At 39.6% G+C, this 27,642-nt stretch overlaps 1 protein-coding gene across 4 annotated transcripts in view; it reads left to right on the top strand.

The window, feature by feature from the left end:
• The window catches only part of ZFP82 (ZFP82 zinc finger protein), a 35,525-nt gene extending 9,067 nt beyond the window's left edge, over positions 1-26,458 (top strand). The window contains exons 3-5 of one of the 4 annotated variants that reach the window (NM_001321919.2): positions 1,565-1,691; positions 3,906-3,998; positions 25,143-26,458. In NM_001321919.2, coding sequence (NP_001308848.1) covers positions 1,565-1,691; positions 3,906-3,998; positions 25,143-25,246 — 324 coding nt within the window. In that variant the 3' untranslated portion in view covers positions 25,247-26,458. Of the gene's footprint in view, positions 1-1,564; positions 1,692-3,902; positions 3,999-15,467; positions 20,949-25,122 lie in introns of those variants that run through there. The other 3 variants (NM_001321918.2, NM_133466.4, NM_001321917.2) reach the window with 3 other exon arrangements.
• Positions 26,459-27,642: the final 1,184 nt, after the last annotated feature.

Below are 27,642 nucleotides of genomic sequence, written 5' to 3'. Positions count from 1 at the left end.
CAGCATCTCCTATATGTGCTCAGTCTTCTGCTAAAAGCTGCAATGGAGGAAAAATGAAATCTCTTAAATATTTGACCATGGGCCCATTTAGCCACTCATAGGAAAACTGAACTTTGAGTTTTCCAAGTACGTAAGATAAGGGTCGTGGCTGGGCATGGTGGCTTGCACCTGTAATCCCTCCTGTTCAGGAGGTTGACATGGAGGATTGTTTGAGCCCAGGAGTTTGAGGCTCCAATGAAGCTATGGATGTGCCACTGTACTCCAGCCTGGGTGACAGGGAGACCCTGTCTCTTAAAAAAAAAAAGTTATAAAACAAAAAGGTAAGAGTTGCTGTTAGTTGGCCTCAGCCTCAGTATATCATAAGATCTCATGTTTTGTGAGGCTTTTAGGACTGAGTAGGGGTGTGGCTAGGTCTTATAGAGAGATCTGAGATCTTTTGGAATTCCTGAGTTACACTCAGGAACAAGATTCCATTTTTGGTTGAACAGGATGTGCTGGTCTAGAATGACATCTTTGTGATTCTGGATTATGCTATATTAATATCCTTTAACTCAGGAACCAGGAAGGCATACAGTGAGGGATGGAAAGTGATAGCATGTGAGAAGGTAATCCAGGTACATAAGTAGTCACGTTGACTCCCAGAATTGAGGAGGATCTTAAGGTTTTGTCCAACCAAAATATCTAAGTATAAAAGAATGATTAAATCTCATATATGCATTGTATAGACTATTATATAACCAATTTTTGTTTGTTTTTTTTTGAGACGGAGTTTTGTTCTTGTTGGCTAGGCTGGAGTGCAATGGTGTGATCTTGGCTCACCACAACCTCTGCTCCTGGATTCAAGCGATTCTCCTGCCTTAGCCTCCTGAGTAGCTAGGATTACAGGCATGTGCCACCAGGCCCAACTAATTTTGTATTTTTAGTAGAAACAAGGGTTCTCCTGTTGGTCAGGCTGGTCTCGAACTCCCGACCTCAGGTGATCCTCCCACCTCGGCCTCTCAAAGTGATGGGATTACAGGTGTGAGCCACTGCGCCTGGCCTATACAACCAATTTTTAACAGTCATAATTAGAAAAATGCTTATGATATGATCTGCTTCTAGGATAAACTTAGAAGATATTCTCTAATTGCATTTAGATCCTTTTCTAAGATAAAGATATTGTAGGGAGGGAGACTTTAAAAAAAAATCTGTTCTTTAAGAAGAAAGGGGCGGAAGAACTCACCTTCCTTGGGAATTGATGAGGGAGACATAGTAGGCAAAGGCTTATATACAGTATTTCATTTAATTGGAAAACTGATTTTTTTTTCTTTCCCAGGAGTATCTAGATTATTAAGATTTGCCAGAGTATAAGAGTCTGTGTCTGTAGCAACAGAATCCTTCGGGAACCCAGGCACTTTGCTTCAGGCACACTCATTTCCTGACTCGCTGTGTTGCAGGCTTCCAGCCCAAGCCTGTTTTCTTGCCATATGATCCACTTCCTGCAATATCTCTTCCTTCTTTTCTCCTTCTACCTTAAAATACATTTTCTTCCATTTCATTTATAATGTGTGGTTTGTCATTTCAGCGATCAGTGATGTTCAGTGATGTATCCATAGACTTCTCTCCAGAAGAGTGGGAATACCTGGACTTGGAACAAAAGGACTTGTACAGAGATGTCATGTTGGAGAACTACAGCAACTTGGTCTCACTGGGTAAGGTTATCTGCTTCTAGGAATTTAGACTGTGTTCTCTGTAAATCAGCTTTTTCCTGTGGAAATTTCAAGAGTATCTTTTAGGAAGCTATCTAAATTTTTGCTCCACTTTCTAAAGGGAACACTTTGAGCTTTATTTCATTGGAAGTGAGCACCTTCATTAAGCACATTGACCTTCCCCATCCTTAAGTAGCCCTTGGGCCTTAATAATGAAGGGGCTGGGTTTGAGATCTTTGTGATTTGTAGCCTCACCAGCGTCAAAGAAAACAAGTTTCACTTTGTGTTTGAATTCAGAACTGCTTTAGATGTTTTGTTGCTTGTTGGTATATTTTGTAAGGGAAATAGCTAGATCCTGTTTATTGAATTAGCTCTATCAAAATAATACATATGATTTATGTAGTGGTAAAATGGATCAACAGCATGTATTTACAATTCAAGAGAACTCATTCCCTTCATTAATAAACAATCATATTCAGTTTTACCTACCTTTATGATTGAAAATTAAAAATCTGGCCGGGCGCGGTGGCTCACGCCTGTAATCCCAGCACTTTGGGAGGCCGAGGCGGGCGGATCACGAGGTCAGGAGATCGAGACCATCCCGGCTAAAACGGTGAAACCCCGTCTCTACTAAAAATACAAAAAATTAGCCGGGCGTAGTGGCGGGCGCCTGTAGTCCCAGCTACTTGGGAGGCTGAGGCAGGAGAATGGCGTGAACCCGGGAGGCGGAGCTTGCAGTGAGCTGAGATCCCGCCACTGCACTCCAGCCTGGGCGACAGAGCGAGACTCCGTCTCAAAAAAAAAAAAAAAAAAAAGAAAATTAAAAATCTAAGATTTGTATTCATGTGTTTTATTGCACAGCAAGATGAGTATAGTTAATAATAATGTATTGTATATTGTATATTCCAAAATAGCTACAAGAGAGTATTTTTAATGTTCTCACTACAAAGAAAAGAAATGATAAATATTTGAGGTGATGGATATGCTAATTACCCTGATTTGCTAATTCCACAATGACATGTATCAAAACATCACATTGTAGCCTATAAATATATACAATTATTAGTCAAAAGACAAAATAATTATTAGTGAGTATTTGGAAAAACTAGAACCCTCATACATTGCAGTGGGAATGTACGATACTATAGATACGACCCTGTAATTCTTCTCCTAAATGTTTACTCAAGAGAAATAAAAATGTGTCTATACAAAGATGTATAAGTATTCACAGCAGCATTATTCACATTATCTAAATAAATGGATAAATAAAATGTGGCATAGTCATACAATAGAATATTCATTGAAGGAACAAACTACTGATACATGTTATAGCATGCAAGAATATAAAAAACACTATGCTAAGTGGAAGAAGCCAGATGCAAAAGATTACATATTATATGATTCTATTTATATGAAATGCCCAGAAAAGGCAAATCTATAGAGACAAAAAGAAGATCAATGGTTGTCTGGGGCTGGGAGTAGGAATGAGGATTGACTGCCAGTGACCAATAGGGATATTTGGGGGATGACGGAAATATTCTAAGTTTGGGTTATGGTGACGTTTGCACAACTCTGTAAATTTACTAAAAATCATTGAATTGTACACTTAGGTAGGTTTTATGTTATATAAATTATATTGCAGCAAAGCTGTTAAAATCCAAGAACTTTACATTTAATTTAACATTGTTTGAATATCCAAGAAATAATACATGTCCCAGAAAGCTTATTTTTCCTCTCAGCAAAATAACAATAACCAATAGCTAATGAAATATAAATAGTGTTTGGTATATACTCTAGGCAATGTTTAGATACAGACATATATAAATATAATCTTAACAATAATCATATAAGATAAGTACTATGATTATCCCTATTTTATAGGGAAGGAAAAGGTAGCATGGAAGTAACTTGCCCAAGGTCATACAACTAGGATGTGGTTCAGGCAGGATTTGCACCCAGCAGTCTGTCATCTCAACCACTATTGCCTCTGAAAAAGAAACACTTATATGAATATAGATTTTAAAAAGATTTTTTCATTCCCTCTCTAGTCTCTATTTATTGTGTAACCTTAACGTAAATGTTTTTAAAACATCTTTCACTTATTTGTTTTGCCTTATTAATTACTGTTTTGACATATACTTTAACCAAGACTGAATCAAAGTAATTTTGATTTATTTTTTATTTTCATGTACCTTATATTCCTTTTCTTCTAAGCAGGATGCTTCATTTCTAAACCAGATGTGATTTCCTCATTGGAGCAAGGAAAAGAGCCTTGGAAAGTTGTGAGGAAAGGAAGAAGACAATATCCAGGTGAGGGCTAGTTGGGCAGGAAGAAGCCATCAACACAGGGAACCCCAGATCACTGGGGAAGAGACACATCCTTATGTTGTTTAGAAAGCCCTCTTGAAAGGTCTGTGGCCCAAGGAGGAAAGGTCTGTGGCCCAAGGAGGAAAGGTCTGTGGCCCAAGGAGGAAAGGTCTGTGACATGGGGAGCAAATTAAGGTCTTAGCTGGGGGATACTAAAAGAAGCACTTATTTGTCCCATTTACCACTCTTCTTTTTTATTATTGTTCTCTCTAGTTTTCCTCCTCCTTAATGGAGCTGAGGGGTAAGGTGGTGCTCTCTTTGGCTCACTGTTGACAACCATTGTATATTTTGATTCAGTTGCTTTCCTCCTTTGCATTTTTTTTTTTTTTTTTTTTTCTGAGATGCAGTTTCGCTCTTGTTGCCCAGGCTGGAATGCAATGGCACAATCTCGGCTCACTGCAACCTCTGCCTCCTGAGTTCAGGCAATTCTCCTGCCTCAGCCTTCTGAGTAGCTGGGTTTACGGGCGTGTGCCACCACACCCGGCTAATTTTTGTATTTTTAGTAGAGACGGGGTTTCACCATGTTGGCCAGGCTGGTCTTGAATTCCTGACCTCAGGTGATCTGCCCGCCTCAGCCTCCCAAAGTGCTGAGATTACAGATGTGAGCCACTGTGCCCAGCCCCTCTTTTGCATTTATAGTGTCAGCTGAAGAATGACAAAGTTCATACATTTGGAAAGGAGAGCTTTATTTTTCATAAAGGATTGCAGCCTGCAAGGCGGTTATTCTGACAGACTGGGAAGTGTAGCCTAGGCTTCTGCCCAGAGACGGGCATTTCGAGGGAGGGAGAGGGTAAGACAGAAATGTATGCTGAATGTTAGCCAAGTATACATATTCAACAGGCTACAGGAGGAGCTATGAATACTCAGGAAAGAGACTGTGCACATGCATATTAGGTTAACATAAGTCCTATGGCCACTTTAGGGTAGAGATTTAACATTTAAATGCATTATAACTAGGACCTATGCATTAAAAGGGTAAATGTAGGACACAAGTCCATGATCTGTGTATCCTTGGGAGACCAGTCAAAACCAGTCCAAGGCTGGAAGTCGTTTATCAAGAAGAAGCTGTGGACTGGAATAGCTGTCATGTTGGAACCATAAAAACAGGAGTGTGGAGTGGTGGGGGAGTGTTCTGATGAAGTAAGCAAAAGGGTCTTTCAGCCTTTTATTTTCTCTAGCTGACTTTTGAGAAAATCTAATGATCAGAAAGGTGAAAGGGATTGGAAGCAAATGGGTCATGACCAGCCTTCTGTCCTGCCATGTGCCATGACTAGGAACATGGGGTCTTTAGCCAAAAGAGGGTCCTTCAGTCTGTCGGGGTTTAGGACTTTTACTTCGGTCTTTAATAAATAGACAGGTGGCCTTGGAGCTGGGCACTGTCACAGACACTATCAATATAGTGGTAAACAACCAATCAAGTTTCCATCCCCACGAAATTTACCTTGTAATAAGAGAAACATAATAACTATAAATAAATAGGAAATACAATGTCAGGTAATGAGAGTGCTATGAAGAAAAGTAAGCAGAGTAAGGGGATGGAGATGTGTGCTGGGAAGACTCTTTTAGTTGTCAGAGAAGCCTTTTTTCCCCCAACTTTTCTCATAAATTATTAAAGGGAAATAAAAGACTACAAAAATGATATGCTTGATAGTATAATCATATATGTTTTATCAGCAACTAAAGTTTCATATGAATTATTCTAGAAGATAGCTCCTAGTTCACAGAATATCATTCTTATTTGATTTTTCTATCTATGTATTCATCTATCTTCACATTAAGAAGAAACATGGATATAATAGACTCTAGAGAGAATGATCTCATGGTCTTTTGTTTACCTTGTCTGTGCTGTTTTCATCTCTCTTTGCAGCTCTTGTTTCAAAAGGTTTTTTTTTTTTTTTTTCTTGCGACGGAGTCTCGCTCTGTCGCCCAGGCTGGAGTGCAGTGGCGTGATCTTGGCTCACTGCAACCTCTGCCCCTCCAGGTTTAAGCAGTTCTCTGCCTCAGCCTCTGGAGTAGCTGGGATTACGGGCGTGTGCCACTATGCCTGGCTAATTTTTTGTATTTTTTGTAGAGATGGGGTTTCACCATCTTGGCCAGGCTGGTCTTGAACTCCTGACCTTGTGATCCACCCGCTGGATCCCAAGGTGCTGGGATTACAGGTGTGAGCCACCGCGCCTGGCCTTTTTTTTTTTTTTTTTTTGAGATGGAGTCTTACTCTGTTCCCCAGGCTGGAGTGCAGTGGTGTGATTTCAGCTCACTGCAACCTCTGCCTCCCAGGTTCAAGTGATTCTCCTGACTCGGTCTCCTGAGCAGCTGGGATTACAGGTGCCTGCCACCATGCCTGGATAATTTTTTTTGTTGTTGTTATTGTTTTTTGTTTTGAGACGGAGTCTTGCTCTGTCACCTAGCCTGGAGTGCAGTGGCGTGATCTTGCTCACTGCAAGCTCCGCCTCCCAGGTTCATGCCATTCTCCTGCCTCAGCCTCCCGAGAAGCTGGAACTACAGGCGCCCGCCACCACGCCCGGCTAATTTTTTTGTATTTTTTTTTGGTAGAGTTGGGGTTTCACCGTGTTAGCCAGGATGGTCTCAATCTCCTGATCTCGTGATCTGCCCGCCTCAGCCTCCCAAAGTGCTGGGATTACAGGCGTGAGCCACCGCGCCTGGCCATGCCTGGCTAATTTTTATATTTTTAGTAGAGATGGGGTTTAACCATGCTGCTGAGGCTGGTCTTGAACTCCTGACCTCATGATCCGCCCATCTCGGCCTCCCAGAGTACTGGAATTACAGGCGTGAGCCACCGCACCCGGCCACAAAAGGTCTTTAAAAATGTTTTTATTCAGAGACATATGTTGTAATTTTGTATTTTGTTCTCTGTATATTCAGGTCTGGCTAAGGACACTTATTTTAGGGTACTAGTTCTTATTTTATAACCATAGGACCATTTCAGTGCCTACACTGTTTGTAATGTTCTATCTTCTGACTTAACCTTCTACCAAAAGAAAGAAAAACATGCTTTTTCCCTCTTATCCCTAATCTTTTTTTTTTTTTTTTTTTGAGATGGAGTCTCGCTCTTCTGTCCAGGCTGGAGTGCAGTGGCGTGATCTCAGCTCACTTCAAGCTCCGCTTCCTGGGTTCACGCCGTTCTCTTGCCTCAGGCTCCCAAGTAGCTGGGACTACAGGCGCCCGCCACCATGCCTGGCTAATTTTTTTGTATTTTTAGTAGAGATGGGGTTTTACCGTGTTAGCCAGGATGGTCTTGATCTCCTGACCTTGTGATCCGCCCACCTTGGCTTCCCAAAGTGCTGGGATTACAGGCGTGAGCCACTGTGCCCGGCCTCCTAATCTATTTTAAAATTCACATTCAGGTAATTAAATGACATTTGCAATTATTAACACTCAAAATGTATTGCAGAGGTTCCAAGTGAATAAGATAATATCCATTTAGTCAGGAAGCATTTAGCCAAAATAGTAACTGTTGGCTCAGAGTTAGACATCTTAAACAAGACCATGTATTTTTTTTCTTTCTTTTCTATTCTTCCTTTAAGAAAGTTTGATTAAAGTATAAATAACATGCCTTCAGAAAAGTGGACAGATGACTTTCTTGAGGTGATATTTGAGAAGAGACATGAAGTAAGGGCTCAAGACATGTCATTTTCTGGGAAAAGAGCATTATGAGCTGATAGAAAAGGTCTGAGTGCGGCATTAGCCTTGCTAGTCTGAGGAATAACAAAGACGGCCATTATGGTCAGACCAGGGAAAGGGAAAGTAAGAAGCTGAGATCAGAGTTAGGCAAGGACCCGGTAATGTAACCACTAAGAGAAATTGAAAGCCACGGGCTGCTTGTATTCTAAAATTATTTCTCCGGTTGAGTGCAAAAGCAGGAAGCACCGATACTGAGGCAGTTTCAGTTGTTGAGTTAGACAGGGTGGTGGTTTGGATAAGAATGGCATTGTTAGGAAGTAGTAAGAAGCTGTTAGGCTCATGATGTGTATGAAGGCGCTGTCAAAAGAACATGCTGATAGGATTATAAGTGAACTAAGTGGGAAGGAGTGATATAAAAGGAGAAGAAATGAGTGTTGGCTTAAACAACTGGGTGAATAGAAGCAGAATTTACTGAAGTGAGGAAAATAGGAAGAGCAAGTTGGAAAGTTGGCACTAAGAGTTTCAGTTTAAGATATTTTAAGTTTGTGATGATTATTATCTGTCCAGTTTGAGATGTTGCGTAGGCAGTTGAATACGTACACCTGGAACTTGGAGCGATTACAGCCTGGTTTATGTTTGGCTGTCTGTATGATTGGAATTTACATTCATGGATCTGGATGTGACCAACTAGGGAAGGCAGGCAGGCCCGAGAACTGACTCATGGGTCACTCCACCCTGTAGACCTTTGAAAGAGGGAAAGAGGGACAACAAAAGAGATAAAGAAGGAGCAGCCACTAAAAAAATTAAAAAAAAAAAAAAAGAAGGGGCAGCCATTGAGATAAAATAAAAATAAAGGAAATGTTTCACCATGGACGGAGTAGAGAATGAGGACTGAGAATTGACCCCAGGTTCCAGCAAGATGGAGAATCCTGGTAAGCTTGTCAAGAAAGATTTTCAATGGAGTCAGGATGAAAGCCCAAGTGGAGTGACTTGATGAGAGAAGGGTTTGTGAGGCAGTAACAAGAATGAGTATAAGACAACTCTGGAGGAATTATGTATGAAGGGAAGCTGGGAAATAGGGTTGTCAGTTACACTGGGGATATGGGTTAAAAAGCAGTGTATTTTATGACATTAGGGCATGTTTGTGTGCTCATAGGAATGATTCTATCGGTGGAGGAAATCAGTGCAGTAGAGAAAGGCATAATTGTCCTTGAGACTGGAGTAAGAAAGGATCCAGTGAGTAAGGGGGAATAAAAGGGAAAAACAGTGTAGTTATGTGTGCAGGTAGGTTGCTCAGGATGGTGGAGAGAAGATAGCATATTCTTCTGTTGCTGTTTTCTCAGTGAAAAAGAAGATCAATAGAATGTGAGAGCATCAATGGAATATTATTAGCATTCAGTATGGGCTTATTCAGGATATGATTAAAATTGATTCTCCGAAGTACAGTTCCTTAGATGTCGGGTTTTACTATTTTCAGATCTTTGTACATTATCCCTGTGTTGAAATGCAAATAGGACTTCCCTGGAACCAAATCTTCTATATCCCAGAACTTCTTGTATCAACAAAGTAAGATGGTTGATACAGTGCCCAAATAGAGTAAGTCTAAGTGATTTATATGACATTTTCTGTTTAATTAAAGGTGGTTCTCTGCAAAGAGGAATCACATTTATGATTTTTTGTATTTATATATTTTTACCTGATCAAAAAAAGGACTTTTCTACATTCTCATCAGAAGTGTTTAATGGACTAGAAATCCTTTGATCCAACAGATTTAGGACTGGTAATAGGTCTGTTAGTCATAAAAAAATGGGTCGTATATTTTATGTACATACCATAAAAGTATTATTTTAACTTAGAACATTCAAATGTATGTCTGTTTGCCAGTATTTTTGATAGTGTCCAAGTCTTCCTTTCCATTGTCTCATTGTATTTCATTTTTCCTCTAAATCACACACATAATATGAAGTCTATTATTTCCAGTTTTATTTATTTTTAAAGTAGAATAGGAACCAAACTTGCAGTATGAGTGCAGAATACGTCTTGATTGTTATGTTTTCTTTCATTTTTTACTATTGTATTTCCTACACTTAATTTTCGACAGCTGAGATTTTTAGCAATCTGTATTTATCACCAGTTTTCCAAAATGTTCAATTTTGTTTTCATAGAATCAGTTGTTTTCTCCTTGTTATTCATGAGTTTACACTCATGAATTTATTTAACATTTATTAAATTAAATTAGATACTTTCAGGAAAAAAGTGAAACACACCTAAATTTGTTTGGAACAAACATAGTTGCCTCTTGTGAGGTGGGGTGCTTTGTCACCTGGGCCTGCGACTGTGGCTGTATCCCCAGGACATGACCAGCCACTGACCCATCTCTGATACCCTAACCTCTTGTCTGTTGCCTCCTCTGGAGGTAAACAGTAGTAGTTGCTGTCTGGCCTTGGAGAGGTAACCTGAGGGTTAAGTTTATCTGACCACTTTGAACACAGCAGTTACCCTGTGTATTGCCACTGTCTCCACACCTGCTTCTTGCTCAGCAGCTTCTTAGTATGACCACCCTTGGTGGGGCACCCTTAGCTTCTGTGCAGGAATCTCTTCCTTGTGATTTGGTATATGATTTCTTCAGTATACCCAATGCTAAATACTTCATGAGTGTTTCGAAGTTTTCCTCATAAAGGTTATCCATATATTTTAAATTTTTGTAAGTATTATGAGTGAGATCTTTCCCCTCATATTTTATTGTTAAATGTATATTCAAAGGATATTGTTGTTTGTATTTTTATTTTATATCCTGCTACCTTTCTAAATTTTGTTGCCATTTATAATATTTAAACCTTTGAGTTTTCCAATTAGACAGGCATATCCTTTGGAAATAGAGTTTTACCTCTAATTCTTCTACCTCTGATTTTTTTTTCTGATTTTTTAATTATGTTGACTAATAACTCTAATACTACATCATTAATAGTAGTGGTAATGTTAGGCAAGCTGCCTTTTTGGTAAGATAATATATACTTTATCATTTAGGGAAGTATCATTACAGTTTCACTGAGCTTTTTTAAAAAAAATCAGGAACATGAAGCAGGAGGATTGCTTGAGCCCACGAGTTAGAGGCGGCAGTGAGCTGTGATTGCACCACTGCACTCCAGCTGTGGTGACAGAGGGTGACGCTGTTTCTTGGGAAAACAAATTCAGGAACAGTTTTGGTCTTTTTTTAGTTACCTTTTCAGCATCTATGGAATTGATTGTGTGATTTTTTTTTTCTCCTTCACTCTGTTGGTATATTGAATTGTCTTAATAGATTTCCCCATATTGAACCATTGAAACATTTTTTTTTTTTTTTGAGATGGAGTTTTGCTCTTGTTGCCCAGGCTGGAGTGCAGTGGCGTGATCTTGGCTCATTGCAACCTCTGCCTCCTGGGTTCAAGCGATTCTTCTACCTCAGCCTCCCAAGTAGCTGGGACTACAAGCATGTGCCACCACACCCCGCTAACTTTTGTATTTTTAATAGAGACAGGGTTTCACAATATTGGCCAGGCAGGTCTTGAACTCCTGACCTCGTGATCCACCTACCTTGGCCTCCCAAAGTGTTGGGATTACAGGTGTGAGCCACTGCGCCCAGCCTAAAACATTCTTGTAATAAACACCCCTTGGGTCTTTCAATGTGCTGTTTTATTAGATATTTAGAATTTTTTCCTCAGTGTTCAGAATATTGGTGTGTAGTTTTCTTTTTGTGAGCGATCTTTATATCAGTATCACTTTATGAAAACAGTTTGGAAGTCCTGATCTTCTTAGTTGAAAAAGAATTTTGATAGCCTGTCTTTAAAGCTTAAATAAGTTTTGTAAAGCTTTATTCTTGGGAAAAGGGATGGTAAGTCTGATCACATTCTCTATTTGCTCTATGGGAATTGATCTATATAAACATTTTATTAACATCTATCTCTTCCATGATCAGTTTTGATAAATTATATTTTTCTAAAAAATTATCCATTTTAGGCTGGGTATGGTTGCTCATGCCTGTAATCCCAGCACTTTGGGAGGCTGAGGCGGGTGGATCACAAGGTCAGGAGTTCAAGACCAGCCTGGCCAAGATGGTGAAATCCCGTCTCTACTAAAAGTACAAAATTTAGCCGGGTGTGGTGGCGTGTGCTTGTAATCCCAGCTACTTGGGAGGCCGAGGCAGGAGAATCGCTTGAAGGTGGTGGGGCGTGGCGGGGGGCCAGCGGGTGGAGGTGCAGGTTGCAGTGAGCCGAGATTATACTACTGCACTCTAGCCTGGGTGACAGAGTGAGACTCTGTCTCAAAAAACAAAAAAACAACAAATTATCCATTTTAGCTGTGTTTTCAAATTTATTAGCATAGTCATCTGTCCTCTGTATTCATGATCATTTTCATTTGTTCTTTCTTATTTCTATGTCTGTGCTTTCTTGCTGTTTTCATTATCTTAACCATGGCTTACATTTTGTTGATTAAAAAATTGGTTTATGAGGCCAGGCGCGGTGGCTCACGCCTGTAATCCCTGCACTTTGGGAGGCCGAGGCGGGTGGGTCACCTGAGGTCAGCAGTTTGAGACCAGCCTGGCCAACATGATGAAACCCGTCTCTAGTAAAAATACAAAAAATTAGCTGGGCGTGGTGGTGTGTGCCTGTAATCCCAGCTACTCAGGAGGCTGAGGCAGGAGGATTGCTTGAACCCGGGAGGCAGAGGTTGCAGCGATCCAAGATTGCGCCACTGCACTCCAGCCTGGGCAACAAGAGCAAAATTCCATCTCAAAAAAAAAAAAAAAAAATTGGTTTATGCTTTATTACTTCTATTTCTGTATTCTAACTAATTCTGCTTTTATATCGGTTAATATTTTTCTTCTGCTTTACTTCAGCTTAATTTTATTTTCTTTTTTTGAATGAGACTTTTAACGATGTTTTTCACTTTTATTGCTGTATTTTAGTTTGTAAATTTTCTTATAAGCACTATGGTTATGTTTTATAGATACTTATATGCAGGTTTTCAAAATGTAGGCTTAATTTTTTTTTTTTTTTTAAAGAAACAGAGTCTTGCTCTGTCACCCAACCCAGAGTGCAGTGGCATAGACAGAGCTCACTGCAGCCTTGACCTCCTGGGCTCAAGCACTTCTCCTACCTTAGTCTCCCAAGTAGCTGGGACTATAGCACACACTACCATGCCCAGCTAATTTTTTAATTACTTTATTTATGTATGTATTTTTTTTTGAGATGGAGTCTCGCTCTTTCACCCAGGCTGGAGTGCAGTGGCGCGATCTCGGCTCACTGCAAGCTCCGCCTCCCAGGTTCACGCCATTCTCCTGCCTCAGCCTCCCGAGTAGCTGGGACTACAGGTGCCTGACACCCCGCCCAGCTCATTTTTGTGTGTGTGTCTATTTTTAGTAGAGACGGGGTTTCACCGTGTTAGTCAGGATGGTCTCGATCTCCTGACCTCGTGATCCACCCATCTCGGCCTCCCAAAGTGCTGGGATTATGTGCGTGAGCCACTGCGCCCAGCCAATTTATTATTTTTAGAGATGAGGTCTTGCCATGTTGCCCTGACTGGTCTTGAACTCCTGGGCTGAAGAGATCTTCCTGCCTTGGCCTCCTCAAGTGCTGGGATTACAGGTGTGAGCCACCACACCTGGCCTCCCATTATTTTCAAAAAAACAAAAATACAGCCAGGTGGCCTGGCTCATGCCTGTAATCCTAGCACTTTGAAAGGCAGAGGTGGGAGGATCACTTGAGGTCAGGAGTTTGAGACTAGCCTGGCCAACATGGTGAAACCCTGTCTCTACTAAAAATACAAAAAAAAAAAAAAAATAGCCAGGCGTGGTGGCACATGCCTATAATCCCAGCTACTCAGGTGGCTGAGGCAGGAGAATCGCTTGAACCCAGGAGGCAGAGGCTGCAGTGAGCTGAGGTCACACCACTGCACTCCAGCCTGGGTGACAGAGTGAGACTCTGTCTCAAAAAACAAACAAACAAGCAAAAATCAAAAACATTGTTTCAGATCTTATTTTCCTATTGACCTAAGAGTTATTTAATATAGACTTTTGAATTTTCAGGTAGATTTTACTTGTGTTTCTTTTAATTTTATTATTAATTTCCAGTTTTAGTAGAAAATGTCTATATAATTTCAACCTTTTTTTTTTGCTAACTCCTAGTTTTGTGTCTAGATTTCAGCTTTTTAATAGAGACCACCTTATCATAATTGAAAACCTCATCCTGTTTCTCTCTCATACACAACTCATTCAGCTTGTAGATTTTCCTCTGGCTGTTCCTGTTGCTGGCTTGCCATCCTCTGGCCTACATGTAACGTGACTTCTGTTAGCAAGTCCTTCACATTCAGATGACTGCAACAGTTGAACATGCACATTACTTTTTTCCACATTTCTGAGTTACAGGCATATCCTGTCTTTTTGTGCCATGAATTTCATAAGAACTTCAGTAAGATATAGACGTGTTTTCCTGTCCGAAAAATCACTGATACACATTTCCTAAAAAAACAGGAATGGCCTTGACTATGAGGGAATGGAAAGGAGAAAACCTGAGCAATGGGAGGAAAGAACAAAACCAGTTGAACATTTGTCAAATGAATGAGTAATAGAATAAGTTGAAGGGAAGATTGAGTAGGTAGAACTCCTCAATACCTTTGCTATGGTGTAGAGACAAAGAAAAAGTTACCCATAGCTATGTGAAGGGGCAAATGGGCAGTGCACTGCATAGGTAAAGGCATAAGCAGTGGCAGATGCATAGGAATATACAGCCACCTATTTCCATTCTTGTATTTAGCTGGGCTGCCCTGGATGAATAAAGAGAATATTTAATCACTGTAGTAAGGCATGAGAGACTAGAGGCAGAGAGATACATTTAGAACAAGTATGTAGCTATGGGAATTAAATGAGTAAAACCTATTATATGCTTAGCATTTATTACTTAATGTAGCGTTAACTAGGGATTGTTTCTGTCCTTGAGGAGGTTTATAGGTAAGAATAGGCAGTATAACAATTGGAGAAGTTAATAAATATATAATTTTTAAATTGAGAGCTATTATAAAGGCAAGGAATAGAGAATAGCAACATGGATTTAGGTACTATCAATAGGGTCAACCTTAAAGGAAATGACTTTTAATCTAAGATCTCAAGATGAAAGGAGCCAGCCATGCAAAGAGCCCAATCAGGAGATTTGTGGGAGATAGAACAGACTGTGAAGAGTCCTAAGAGATGGAAGTAAGTTAGGACATGTGAGGTCTGCAAGGAGGCCTCTCCAGGGAGCAGTAAAGGGGACACTGGTTTGAGATCATATGATGTAGGTAAGCAGAGGCCTTCTTAACCACAGTGAGCTTGACTGGATTCTGAGAATGAAGAAAGATGAAAAAAATTTAAGTATAGATTCTCGACCTCTCATCTTCATCAGAATTATCATGTAGAGAATATTAAATATCCTTCCAGGACTGCAGAGTCTGATCCAGGTGGTTTGGGTGGTGTCTAAACCTCAGTGTTAGTAACAAGCTATGTGGTGATTCTGATCCACACCTCAATATGAGAACCACTGACTTAAAATGTTTACTTCATCACCAATCTTGCTATTTTGTATGAACTCTCATTTTTCCTGATGTTCCCTTTGGCTTTTTTTTTCTTTCCAAATTGTATAACAATATTTTAGAGTTTTGGTTAAGGATTACTTTTGTTGTCTTTTATTTCTACATTAGAAATGTTGCTTCTTTTAGTAAAAGAAAACAGCATGTGTTTGCTTTCTTGTTTTATTTTAGATTTGGAGACCAAGTATGAGACCAAGAAGTTATCTTTAGAAAATGACATTTATGAAATAAATTTATCCCAGTGGAAGATAATGGAAAGAATTGAAAACCATGGCCTTAAGGGTCTCATTTTAAAAAATGATTGGGAATCCACAGGAAAAATTGAAGGACAGGAGAGACCTCAAGAAGGATACTTCAGTAGTGTGAAAATGCCATCTGAAAAGGTGTCCTCTTACCAGAAACGCACATCTGTTACTCCACATCAGAGACTTCATTTTGTTGATAAACCCTATGAATGTAAGGAATGTGGGAAGGCGTTCAGAGTGCGCCAACAGCTTACTTTTCATCACAGAATTCATACTGGTGAAAAACCGTATGAATGTAAGGAATGTGGGATGGCCTTCAGACAGACTGCACACCTTACTCGACATCAGAGACTTCATTCTGGTGAAAAACTCTATGAATGTAAGGAATGTGGGGAAGCTTTCATATGTGGTGCAGATCTTAGAGTACATCAGAAAATGCATATTGGTGAGAAGCCCTATGAATGTAAAGAATGTGGGAAGGCTTTTAGGGTACGAGGACAACTTACTCTGCATCAGAGGATTCATACTGGTGAGAAACCCTATGTGTGTAAAGAGTGTGGAAAAGCCTTTAGACAGTACGCACACCTGACTCGGCATCAGAAGCTTAATAGTGCTGACAGGCTCTATGAATGCAAAGAATGTGGGAAGGCCTTTTTGTGTGGCTCTGGTCTTAGAGTACATCACAAACTTCATACTGGTGAGAAACCCTATGAATGTAAGGAATGCGGGAAGGCCTTTAGAGTGCGACAACAACTAACACTCCATCAGAGAATTCATACTGGTGAGAAACCCTATGAATGTAAGGAATGTGGAAAGACCTTTAGCCGTGGTTATCATCTTATTCTCCATCACAGAATTCATACTGGTGAAAAACCTTACGAATGTAAGGAATGCTGGAAAGCCTTTAGTCGCTACTCACAACTTATTTCACATCAGAGTATTCATATTGGTGTTAAGCCCTATGACTGTAAGGAATGCGGGAAGGCCTTCAGACTACTTTCACAACTCACACAGCATCAGAGTATTCATATTGGTGAGAAACCTTATAAATGTAAGGAATGTGGCAAGGCCTTTAGATTGCGCCAAAAACTTACTCTACATCAGAGCATTCATACTGGCGAAAAACCCTTTGAGTGTAAGGAATGTAGGAAGGCCTTTAGACTTAATTCATCCCTTATTCAACATCTGAGAATTCATTCTGGTGAGAAACCCTATGAATGTAAGGAATGTAAGAAGGCCTTTAGGCAACATTCACACCTTACTCATCATCTGAAAATTCATAATGTAAAAATCTAAGAAAGTCTTTTCAACTTCTGTGTTATAGAACATTCTATGAATGTAGTAATTAATCTATTTTGCTCCATACATGCAACTGCGTTGGCATTAGAGGTTTTATACCATTAAAAGAGTGTGACAATGTATTGTAGTCCATCATCACTCAAACCTGAAACTTCAGCATATTTGTTCTAAAAACTAATCCTGTTATAAGAATGAAAAAGACATTTACCGTCATCCCTATCCCATCACTTTGTGTCATACTGGACAAGACGCTTAACTGCTCTGTGCTATAATTTTTTAATTTATGACATGGTCATATAAGAGTGCAGCAGTTTGACACACTTTCAATCAAGAGGTGGAATCTACATCCCTCTGTTGTATACAGGAATCTACATCCCTCTGTGACTGCTTCGCCCAGTAGAATATGGTAGACGTACTGCTGTGCTGGTTTCTTGACTCAGACTTTACTGGTAGGGTTACTTCATCTCATGAAATGACAGAACTGTCTTGTTACAAAGTCTGGCTACTTTGCTGAAGAGACCACATGAAGAGGCCCTGAAACTACGTAGAGAGGGAGAGGCACCTGCTGAACCCTGTCTTCTTGACATCCACCAAGATACCAGACATTTGAGTGAAATTTTGGATCCACCAGACCAGCCACCAGCTAAATGCCAGTGAGCGACTTGGTAACCTGAACTGATGCCATGTAGAATGGAAGAATTGACCAGCTGAGCCCCTGGCCCAAATTTCTGACCCACAAAAACATGAGATATAATAAAATGGTTGTTGTTTTAAGCCACTAAACTTTCTTTTATTATCATACTAAATATTTATTTTTACATAATTCATACTAAAGGCTGTGGGCATAATGAGTATAGAAATGCCTTCCACCAACATTTAATCTTCATTGAACTTGAGATATCTTATTCTCGTTAAAATATTGAAAGTAAGGAATTCCTTTCCAGTTTGTTCATTAAAAAACAGATACCCTAGACCAGGTGAGGTGGCCCATGCCTGTAAATCCAGCACTTTGGGAGGCCAAGTAAGGACGATTGCTTGAGGCCAGAAGTTCGAGACCAGCCTGGGCAACATGGTGAGACCCTGTCTCTACCAAAAAACTTTAAAAATTAGCTGGGCATAATGGTGCATGCCTGTAGTCCTAGCTACTCGAGGCTGAGGTGGGAGGATCATTTGAACCCAAGAGTTGAGGCTTCAGTGAGCTGTGATTGTACCACTGCACTCCAGCTTGAGTGACTGCAAGACCCTGTCTCAAAAAAAAAAAAAAACTACAATCAGTATTCTCTGGCCCCAGTCAATATTAAAAATTGACAAAGGATAACATGAAACTTTGGAAATTAAAAGTCACCTGTATTATGAAGCCCCATTAATTTTTTAAACTACTTCATTGTTTTTTAAAAATGCTAAATTGTCAATTTAGCATTTTGAGGCAATCCCCTCAAATTGGCTCCTGTGTCCTTTTATCATGACCACTCCAACCTTTGAGCTTTTTTTTTTCCTGAACCAAATGCATTGATTAGTTATGGAGCATACTAGAGCATTATTAACAAATAAAGGAAAAGAATGGAATATTTACCTTGCCTATCCTTTACAAACTATATTTCAAGACAACCAAAAGTTGGTGAAGGAAAGTTGTTGATTAGAGAATTCCAACTGGTTAAAAGGTCAAAGGAGGCCAGGCGCGGTGGCTCAAGCCTGTAATCCCAGCACTTTGGGAGGCCGAGGCAGGTGGATCGTGAGGTCAGGAGATCAAGACCATCCTGGCTAACACGGTGAAACCCCATCTCTACTAAAAATACAAAAAATTCGCCGGGCGTGGTGGCAGGCGCCTGTAGTCCCAGCTACTCAGGAGGCTGAGGCAGGAGAATGGCTTGAACCCGGGAGGCGGAGCTTGCAGTGAGCCGAGATCGCGCCACTGCACTCCAGCCTGGGTGACAGACCGAGACTCTGTCTCAAACAAAAAACAAAAAACAAAACAAAACAAAGATCAAATGAATGATAGAATTTGAAAACTACGCTCTTTAATTTTACAAAATCATGGATTTTCGTGGTGATAGCAATGGATGCGAAGACCATTAGGTGAAAAATGGATAGGAAGCTTATAATGCATGGAGCAGAATGACAGGACACTAATCTATATTAACATCTCTAAATGAGATCAGCCAGATGAACTTGATGTGATGAAATGGATACACACAGTGGACACCTGTGAAGTTTTCTTGGCTCCCCCAAAACTGAGAAGTACAAGTTAGTCTCCAAACCTAATTACCAGTTTACAGGAAACATGGGGAATAAAAGAACAAATTAACAACACAAAGAAGCAAACAACCAAATGCACAATTTGGGAAATTCTGCAGAAGTAATGGCCTAGTTTTTTAACCAATACATGTCAAAAAAAAAAAAAAAAAAGACAAAAATGGAATCCTACACTTTAAAGGAGACTAAGAAACGTATCCTTCAAATACAGTGTATGGAGCATTTTAGGATCCTTGTGTTAAAATGCGCTTGGGATTTGTTTTAATCAATCATGGTGAGACAGGCAGACATGGAAATTATTGTCATGAAGGAAGAAGTTTATACGCAGATCCCACAAACGGGAGGCATGGCATGGCATGCAGGGTCACGTAAAGAAGCACCTGGGTGTATCAGGAGGCAGAGGGTGAGAGCACAGCATGGCCCAGAGCTTTTATTGGGGGTTTTCATGGGAAGGAATGGACAAGGCAGGGGTAGGCACACTGGTAAGCTTAGGATTGAATAGTTTGAGTAATTTTGTTGGTCTCTGGGATCTAGGGGGGATTCGTAATTGTCTAGTTAGGGCAGGGGAATATTGAATTGGTGTATGAGAGTTTGGTAAAGGAGATAGTTGGGAGTATGGGCTCTGGATTGGTTGGTTTGTATATGAAAGGCATGCTTGCAGTGGAGTTTATCATCTATGCATTAGCTTGCCCTGGGAGGGGCAGCCTATCCAGGATCAAGGCCCCAAGTGGCCAGAGCATCAGGAATACAGAAAATAAAGAAAACATAGTCAATACAAGATTTGAAGGAATAAAATGTCTCTACATATTGTACAAATGTAAACATGGATTGGTTACTAAATGATACGAAATAATTTATTGTTCATATGTTAGGCATGACTATGGCATTATGGGTATATGTGTATGAGTCCTTAAGTGTTAGAGATTCATACTGAGGTATTTAAGGCTGAAATGTTATGCCTGTGATTTACTTTTAAATACTTAAAAACAAAAGGTGGGAGGGATAGATGAAACAAGATTAGCAAAATGTTGGTAAATGTTTAATCTGGATCATTAGGTACACAGGGTTCATTGTGCCGTTCTTACTATCTTTACATATATTTTAAATTTTCCATAATAAAGTTTTTTAAAGTAGAAAATCAAGTTTGGGCCAGGCGTGGTGGCTCATGCCTGTAATCGCAGTACTTTGGGAGGCCAAGGTGGGTGGATCATTTGAGGCCAGGAGATCAAGACCATCCTGGCCAACATGGTGAAACTCTGTCTCTACTAAAAATACAAAAATTAGCTGGACATGGTGGCACGCCTGTAGTCCCAGCTACTCGGGAGGCTGAGGCAGGAAAATCGCTTGAACCCAGGAGGCGGAGGTTGCAGTGAGCTGAGATCACACCACTGCACTCCAGCCTGGCAATAGAGTGAGACTCCATCTCAAAAAAAAAAAAAAAGAAAGAAAATCAAGTCTGAAATTGTAGACTATTTAGTGATGAATGATCACATGTTGCCTACAGATAACTTGGGGGAAATCACCAACCAAAGCTCTACTTGGTAGAAAATTTAAAGCAATGCATTTAGAACATCTGGATTGAGAAATAAGTATTTGTGTTGTTCACCATTCTGTTCACACACCTACAGTGCCTGTCACATAACAGGCAATTTATGGGAAAAAATAAGGATTAACTTAAGCTAGAAATTTTTAAAAACTAAGGTGAATAACAGCAAGTAGTTTATATGATCAAATAAATTAATGGAATAGTTAATAAAATAACAGACTAAGGATATTCTCTTTGAAAAGAACATTAATATAGAATTGGCAGTTATTGAGGGAAAAACATGACTCACAGCTTTATGTATGGAAAAAGTGAAATAGCTACATAATGAGGTTTTTTTAAAAATTTAAGTTACATATTACTATATACATATATTTCAATGTTTCAGTATTACTATATACATATATTTCAATATGTTTCAATCTAGAGAAACCTAAATGATCAAAGTTGACCCCAGATACCAAAAAAAAACCCTGAACTAATCCATAAAGGGGAAAATATGTACAGTTATGATCTTGTTTTTTAAAAACTAGAATCTATAGATTTACAGGCAGTAAAAAGCTTTAAAGAATATATAACCCATAACAAAATTTTACTAGATCGTTATATAAGGCAAATATCCCAATATAAAATTAGATGAGGATAAATACCTCCTAAAAAGCAAAATGTGGGCCAATTTTACTTAAGATATATGCAAACATTCGCAAAAAAGTATCAGTAAATTGAACTCAATAGTCAATTAAAACAATTATAAAACATAAAATGATTTACTAGGAATACCCTGGGGCCTGGCCTGTTCTCATTTAAATATGTATCCAGATTTTAGGTTTCCTGACTTGAACAATGCAACAATGTTACAAAAAATGACATGATTCAGTCACAGTATCTTTTAGATGGTTTCTATTCTCATTTATCTTAGTTTCATTGACTTTACAAAAGGAATGAACAATACATATAAAAATAGGAATTCAACACAAAAATTATTACCTTTTTTCTTAGTCTGTTTTGTGTTCCTATAAAAGAATACTGGCTGGGTGTGATGGCTCACGCCTGGAATCCCAGCACTTTGGGAGGCTGAGGCGGGTGGATCACTTGAGGTTAGGAGTTTGAGACCAGCCTGGCCAACATGGCGAAACCCCATCTCTACTAAAAATACAAAATTAGCCAGGCATGGTGGCGCATGCCTGTAATCCCAGCTACTTGGGAGGCTGAGAAAGAATTGCTTGAACCTGGGAGGTGGAGGTTGCAGTGAGCTGAGATTGCACCATTGCACTCCAGCCTGGGCAACAGGAGCAAAACTCCATCTCAAGAAAAAGGAAAGAATACCACAGACTGGGTAATTTACAATGAACAGAAATTGGCTCGCAGTTCTGAAGGGTAGGAATTCCAACATTAAGAGGCTGGCATCTGATAAGGACCTTCTTGCTGCGTCATCTTATGGCAGAAGGGCAGAGAGGATAAGAGAGAGAGAGGGCAAGAGGGAGCCCAACTCATCTTTTGATAAAGAACCCACTCCTGTGATAATGGCATTAATCCATTCATGAAAGCAGAGTCCTCATGGACCAATCACTTCTTAAAGGTCCCACCTCTTAATACTATTGCATTGGGGATCAAGTTTTTCCCTAAAACTTGGGGGTGAGCATTGGGGGACACATTCAAACTATAGCGTGGCTTCTCTGGCCTCCCAAATTCATGTTCTTCTCACATGCAAAATACATACACTCCATTCTGATTGCCCCAAAGTCTTAACTCTTTCAAGCACAAACTCAGAAGTTCAATCTCATCTAGATCAGCTATTGTGAGACAAGGCATGATTTATCCTGAGGCAAATTTTCCTCCAGCTGTTAGTCTATGAAATCAAGCAAGATATTTACTCCCAAAACACAACAGTGGGACAGGCATAGCCTAGACATTCCTATTCTGAAAGAAATAGGGAAGAAAAAGGGGATAACTGGTCCCAAGTAGGTCCAAAACCCAACAGTGCAAACAACATTAACTCTTTTTTTTGAGACGGAGTCTCGCTCTGTCACCCAGGCTGGAGTGCAATGGCGTGATCTCGGCCCACTGCAACCTCTGTCTCCAGATTCAAGCGATTCTCCTGCCTCAGCCTCCCGAGTAGCTGGGATTACAGCATCTGCCACCATGCCCAGCTAATTTTTGTATTTTTAGTAGAGATGGGGTTTCACCATGTTGGCCAGGCTGGTCTTGAACTCCTGACCTCAGGTGATCCACCTGCCTCGGCCTCCAAAGTGCTGGGATTACAGGCGTGAGCCAGCGCACCCAGCCAAACAACATTAACTCTTAAGGCTCCAGAAGACCCTTCCTTAACTCTATGACCTACTTGGACACACTGGGGTGGGGGCTGGTTCTCAGACAGCCTTGCCCCCATGGCTTTGCTGGGCTTATGCCATAGAGCATCTGTCACAGGTTGGAGTTTTACACTGGTAGGTCTTCAGTTCTGGGGTCTTGGGGATGGCCTCTCTCCATTAGGCACTGTCCTAGTGGGGACTCTCTGCAGTGGTTCTGCTCATGGACAAATCTGACTGGGCCCCCAGGCTACCCAAGGCATCCTTTGAAATCTAAGTGAAGGAAGCCATGCCCCCGTGACTCTTGCATTCTGCACTCCTGCCAAATTAGCACCACATTGATGCTGCCACCACAAGCTTACAGCTTATGCCCAGTGGCAGGCTGAGCCACACCTGAGCCAGCAGGAACCAATGGCTGGGGCAGCCAAGGGCACTCTACTGGCATGTGGGAAGCAGAGTCATGAGGCAGCATGAGCCAGTGAATGCTGTCTGTGATGGAAGGGGCAGCCTCAAAGAGCGCCAGAATGCCTTCAGGGTCATTCTCCCACTGTCTTGATAGCTCCTGTCTTCCTTCTATTCATACTAATCTTTTCAGCAGTCTCTGGGTATACAACCTTGGTTTGCACTCCTAAACACACCTTTTCACTTCATAAATGGCCAGGCTGCAAATTTTCCATATCTTTTTGTTCTGCCTTCCTTTTAATTATGTTTTATCTTTAAATCATTTCTACCTCTCACATCTTACTATATGCAGTTAAAAGAAGCCATGTAGCTCTTTCAGTATTTTCCTTAGAAATTTCTTCCACCACATATTAGTTCATTGCTCTTAAATTCTGCCTTCCAATAAAGCCCAAGGCATGGACACAAATTCAGCCAGATTCTTTGTTAATTTCTAATAAGGATGGCCTTTATTCCAGTTTCCAATACCTTGTTTCTCATTTCCAGCTGAGACCTCACCAGAATTGCCTTTGCCATCCCTATATTTATCAACATTCTGATCACAACCACTGAAGTAATCTCTAAAAAGTTTCAGACTTTCCATACAGCTCTTCTGAGCCCTCACCAGAATCACCCTTTAACATTCCACCCACAGCAATAGTCTTTTTCTGACATCCAGTTCAAAACTTTTTCAGCTCTTACCCATTACCTAGTTCCAAAGCCACTTCCACACTTTCAGTTATTCATTATAGCAACTGCGTACTTTTCCAGTACCAATTTTCTGTCTTAGTCTGTTTTGTGTTGCTATAACAGAATACTACAGACTCAGTAATCCACAGCAAACAGAAATTTATTGACTCATGGTTCTGGAGACTGAGAAGCCCAAGATTGACAGGCTGACATCTTATGAGTGGCCTCTTGCTGTGTCATCTCATGGCGGAAGGGCAAAGGGGGTGAGAGAGAGAGCAAGCCAGCAAAAGGGGCCAAACTCACCCTTTTATAAGAAACCCACTCACGTGATAACAAACCCATTCCTGTGGTAACAACATTAATCCATTCCTAAGGGCAGACTCCTCATGGCCTAATCACCTCTTAACAGTCCCACCTCTTAATATTGTTGCATTGGGGATCAAGTTTCTCCCAAAAACTTGGAAATGAACTTTGGGGGACACATTCAAACCACAGCACCTTCCACAAAATAAAAGTAAGTATTGCCACAACTCTTTATTTTTAACCAAATCTCTGTAATGTCACTCTATTCATAGATTAAGATTTGTACCTCCAAGTCCAGTTTGCTCAGATTGGGCAGATGTCATTAATTAGTCATTAATCATCTAGAATAATACATCTTGTCCACCCAAGATTTCACATGGTTTTTAATTTGTAAACAGTAAAATGTAACATGAAGAAGACTATTTTAAGTGCTATAATAAAATTAGGTTTTGCTAATAGGACAATGTGTTTCTCCTCTTAGGTAACATTTTCACATTAACAGAGGTCTTCTGGAGACAGTACCTTTACTCAAAATTTCTGAAACTATGTTCCACAGAACACTAGTACTTAATCCTACTTGAAGGAAATGATTTTGTGAAACATGTATGAGAGCTCTGTGTACTATATTTCTTGGGGGAAAAAGTCACATTATGTGCCTATCAATATGAAAGAAAATGGAGTTTTATTTTATTTAACTCAGTGTAATTCAGACTTCACCATAGAACTCCCATTCCCAATACCTATTGCAGATGTGATTCTACTTTGGCAGATGCTGCGATAACCAAAAGGACTTCGAAGATGAAAATGTCAGCATTATGGCAGATGTATGATTACTGGTATGGTGAGGAAAGCAACTCCCATCATGCTTTGTAACCAGCTGCTTGCTTTTTTTGAATGATACTTTTCAATAGAATAGAAAGCCCACTAGTCCTATCTTTTATATATACATTATATGTATTTAAACTTTCTTATTGATCAATATTTAGGTGATAAGCATTTTCTCACTGTGAAAAATACCTTATTGAATAGGTCTGTGTTTATTACTGTACATAAGCAAGAGTTTCTCTAAGGTATTTATCAAAAGTAGGATTGCTCAGTCATAGTTAATATTTACTTTCAACCTCACTAGATACTGTCATAGAAGTAGAGAGCATCAGTATGCTCCCAGTGCACAATCCCTTCAACCAGTGAAATATGTTTTCCTTATTTCCTTATATCCTTACTTCTGGTATGCATAGTAATATTTTCCTGGTTAATAGTGAATTGGGCATATTTTCACATCTGAATATTGGCTAAACGCTGTAACTTGCCAATTTATGTCTTTGCCTGTGTTCCTTTAAAAAAGCTTTTAAAATATAAGAATTATAAGATTCTTAAAAAATAAAATTCTAGATAGTAGTCCTTTGTTATAAATGGACTTACCTTCTCCCATATTGTATTTATGTTGATATTGTCATATGAATACGTTAAATGTGGATACAATCATAGCTTTCATTATTACCTAATAATCTTTTAAATTTTATTTTTTACTAGACTCTTGGTTTTCTAGGCAATCAGGTGTGTCAACTGCAAATAGATATAATTTTGTTTTTTTCTAAATATAGTGATTATTTTTTAAATTATTGTTATTGTAATAGAGTCTCCAAAACAAGGTTTAGTATTCATGGTGATACCAGGCATCTGGTCATTTTCTCCAATTTAATGAAAATTACTTGGTGTAATGTTTACTCTAGGTCTGAGATAAATAGATTTTGTAGCTCAGTTGTCTCAGTTCTTGTTTAACTTTTTTTTTTATTAGAAATATCTGCTAAATATAGTCAGATGCCTTTTTGGCTCATTGATATGATGTTTTTCTCCTTGAGTTTGTTAATGTGACAAGTTGTACTGTAGTCATTAAGGCAGGTATGTTAGAATGAACCAGAATGTTCGATGAGCAAGAATGAACAAATAGACCAATGGAACAAAATAAAGAGCCCTGAAGTAGATCTCTCTCTCTATATATATGTGGTTGTCTAATTTGTGATAAAGTTTCCTCGGCCATGTGGTTGGGAAATGGTGGTCTTTTCAATAAAAAGCACTGGATCAGTTGTGTATCTGTTTTGATAAAAAATTCGTCTTGACCCTTACCTCACACTATACATAAATCAATTCCAGATGCATGAGTGATCTAATCGTAAAAGGTAAAGCAAGAAGGGCTTCAGGAGAAAATGTAGAGTATCTTTCTAGCATTGGGGTAGCAAAACAAATTTTTTTTCTTTTTTTTTTTGAGAAATTTTGAGAAAAAAGCCAAATTTTAAATGATGATATTAAATTGTTTAAAAAACCGGCTGGGCACAGTGGCTCACATCTGTAATCCCAGAACTTTGGGAGGCCGAGGTGGGTGGATCACCTGAAGTCAGGAGTTCGAGACCAGCCTGGCCAACATAGTGAAACCCCGTCTCTACTAAAAATACAAAAAAAAAAAAAAAAAAAATTAGCCAGGCATGGTGGCACGCACCTGTAGTCCCAGCTACTTGGGAGGCTGAGGCAGAAGAATCGCTTGAACCTGGGAGGCAGAGGTTGCAGTGAGTTGAGATTGCGCCATTGCACTCCAGCCTGGGTGACGAGATGAAACTTCATCTCTAAAAAATAAAAATAAAAAATTGTTTAAAAAACCAAGTGTGCTGGATATCATTTGTTGTTGTTGTTTTGTTATAAGTATTCTTCTGTGCCCCATGCTCTTTTTTGTGCTACAGAGGCTGGAAGCCTCAGCACTACAATTTTTAGACCCTCTTGCCTCTAGAATTCCAGATGTGATCTATGTTCTTCCAGTGAGATAAACTCATGCAAGATTAGGAAGACAGAAGAAAGCAGAAAGCAACGGCTTTCTCCTTCACCAGTGCTGATGGTGTGAGGTTTTGCAGCAGCTTCTGATAGTGCCTTTGCCATGAAGGTATTTAACAAAAGTTGAGGTCATAAATTATACGATATTACCACAAATGATTAAAACACAAGGTTTGGTATATGTTGGGCCACTTTCTCAATCTGCAAACTTAATGTGAAGTACATCCACAAGATATAGTTTTGGAATAAATGAAGACTCCAGAAATATATTGAGAAATAACATGGATTTAATTCCTGCTGAGGCATCTTTAGTTTTTATGATTTCAAAGTTACTAAAATCATATACATATGATATATATGTGTGTGTGTGTATATATATATATATATATATATGAAAAAAATTGAGTAGTTGGAATTACAGATGTGCATCACCATGCCTGGCTAAT

The sequence above is a fragment of the Homo sapiens genome, chromosome 19 (assembly GCF_000001405.40).
Source record: "Homo sapiens chromosome 19, GRCh38.p14 Primary Assembly".
In the NCBI taxonomy this organism is placed as follows: domain Eukaryota; kingdom Metazoa; phylum Chordata; class Mammalia; order Primates; family Hominidae; genus Homo; species Homo sapiens.
The sequence above is the reverse complement of the archived record's forward strand: the minus strand, read 5'-3'. Positions and strand labels throughout refer to the sequence as shown.